The 1,776-nt window shown below is 43.5% G+C and overlaps 1 pseudogene; it reads right to left on the bottom strand.

The window, feature by feature from the left end:
* On the bottom strand, positions 308 to 1,358 carry PRPF38AP2 (PRP38 domain containing A pseudogene 2; annotated as a pseudogene).

Raw genomic sequence — 1,776 nt, 5'->3', positions numbered from 1 at the left:
AAAACTAAAATATTCTTTTTTTTTTTTGAGATGGAATCTCGCTCTGTCACCCAGGCTGGAGTACAGTGGCCTGATCTTGGCTCATTGCAACCTCCGCCTCCTGGGTTCAAGTGATTCTCCTGCCTCAGCCTCCAGAGTAGCTAGTACTACAGGCGTCCGCCACCACGCCTGGCTAATTTTTGTATTTTTAGTAGAGACAGCGTTTCACCATATTGGCCAGGCTGGTCTCGAACTCCTGACCTTGTGATCTGCCCACCTCAGCCTCCCAAAGTGCTGGGATTACAGGTGTGAGCCACTGCGCCCGGCCAAAAAACTAAAATATTCTTATATCTACCTTGGGGAGATCTTAATCCTTCCACATAGACATATCCTTATATCCACAGGAGGCCATGTGGACTAAAACCAAACTGAGTCCATTACTCATTCCCTCACCGGCTCTTCTCGTGGCTCTTCTAAGACCTTTCGGGAGACTTTGAGTGGTTCTTGTGTCTGTGACTACAGTGATGACCTGGGGACTTGGAATGGGATCTGTGCTGCCAATCTCGGGACCTGCTGCGGTGAAGTCTTGGACTCTTGCTCCCATGCCTTTCTCGATGCAGGGAGGGACTTCTCCTTTTGGGAGATCGATTCCACCTTCTGGGAGACCGACTCCTACTCCTTCTGTAGCGCAGTGTGGGAGAGCAACGGGACTTGTCCAAGTCTCCGTAGCTTCTCCGGCGGTGATCAGTTGATGGCACTCTCCAACTTCTCATCCTCCTCTTCTTCCTCTTCACTGGACTCCACATCATCCATGTCCTCTTCCAGAGCACTAACTCAAGGCTCCAGTTGCTCAGCTTCCTCTAATACATAGCGTTTCTGTAGCCGGGGCAGAATGATATCATACTCTCTTACTGTGCAATAGTTCATCAACAAACTCATCAACATGCATCAATTCAAACTCCTCATTTCGGTTCTGGCTCTTGATTTTTCAATAGTCATTGTAGGAAGACTCCAAGTACTTGTAGCAATCAATTGCAATGCCTGTTAGCCTCACGTAAAATGCCCCCAACATGCGGACATACTTGAAATCTTCATTTTTGATAAACTCTACAATGATATCCTTCTCGGGTTGAATTTGAAGCATCTTCAAGGTTTAACACAGAAAGGGTGTTGGTTTTATGTTGCCACCATAGAGGCCACCCACAAACCTTAACTCCATGGCTTTATCGACTGCAAGTTCAGCCGTAAGTCCAAAGCACTCCTCTTTCCAGAACTTGGACTCATAGATTCGCGTTCAAAGATCTTCTCCACCAGATATTGAGGGTTAGTGCCGTGGATGCTGTGTGCATCCTTCACCGTACGGTTAGCCATTTTAGAATCTTTTGTGTATAGTATTAACTGAAGAATATAAAAATTTTATAGCTTTCTCAAATGAAGAGTTCCTTAATCAGATATGATGAAATAATTTCGTTCAGAAATGCTTCATTAATCTGCCATTGTTAGGAATAAGATGATTTTTCAAAAAATTTAAGCTCATTATCCTAAGTCCCTTTTTAAAAAAATGAGATGTAAGTCTCTTTCATCCTCATTGGTATGCAAAATACGGATTATAAATTATCTTCTATCATTTCTAATCTGAAAAAAACAGATGACCAAGTTGCTTAGAATTGATTGAAGTCAAACGGTTCAGCTGTTGTGGTTTTGGATGAGGCAAGTTCACTGGTTTTAATGGGAACATTAAACCTCTACAGGCTGTTCAGAAAGGACAGAATTCAAACAATACAGAATAACACAGGG

Source organism: Homo sapiens, chromosome 10 (assembly GCF_000001405.40).
Source record: "Homo sapiens chromosome 10, GRCh38.p14 Primary Assembly".
NCBI classification, from domain to species: Eukaryota; Metazoa; Chordata; class Mammalia; order Primates; family Hominidae; genus Homo; species Homo sapiens.
The sequence above is the reverse complement of the archived record's forward strand: the minus strand, read 5'-3'. Positions and strand labels throughout refer to the sequence as shown.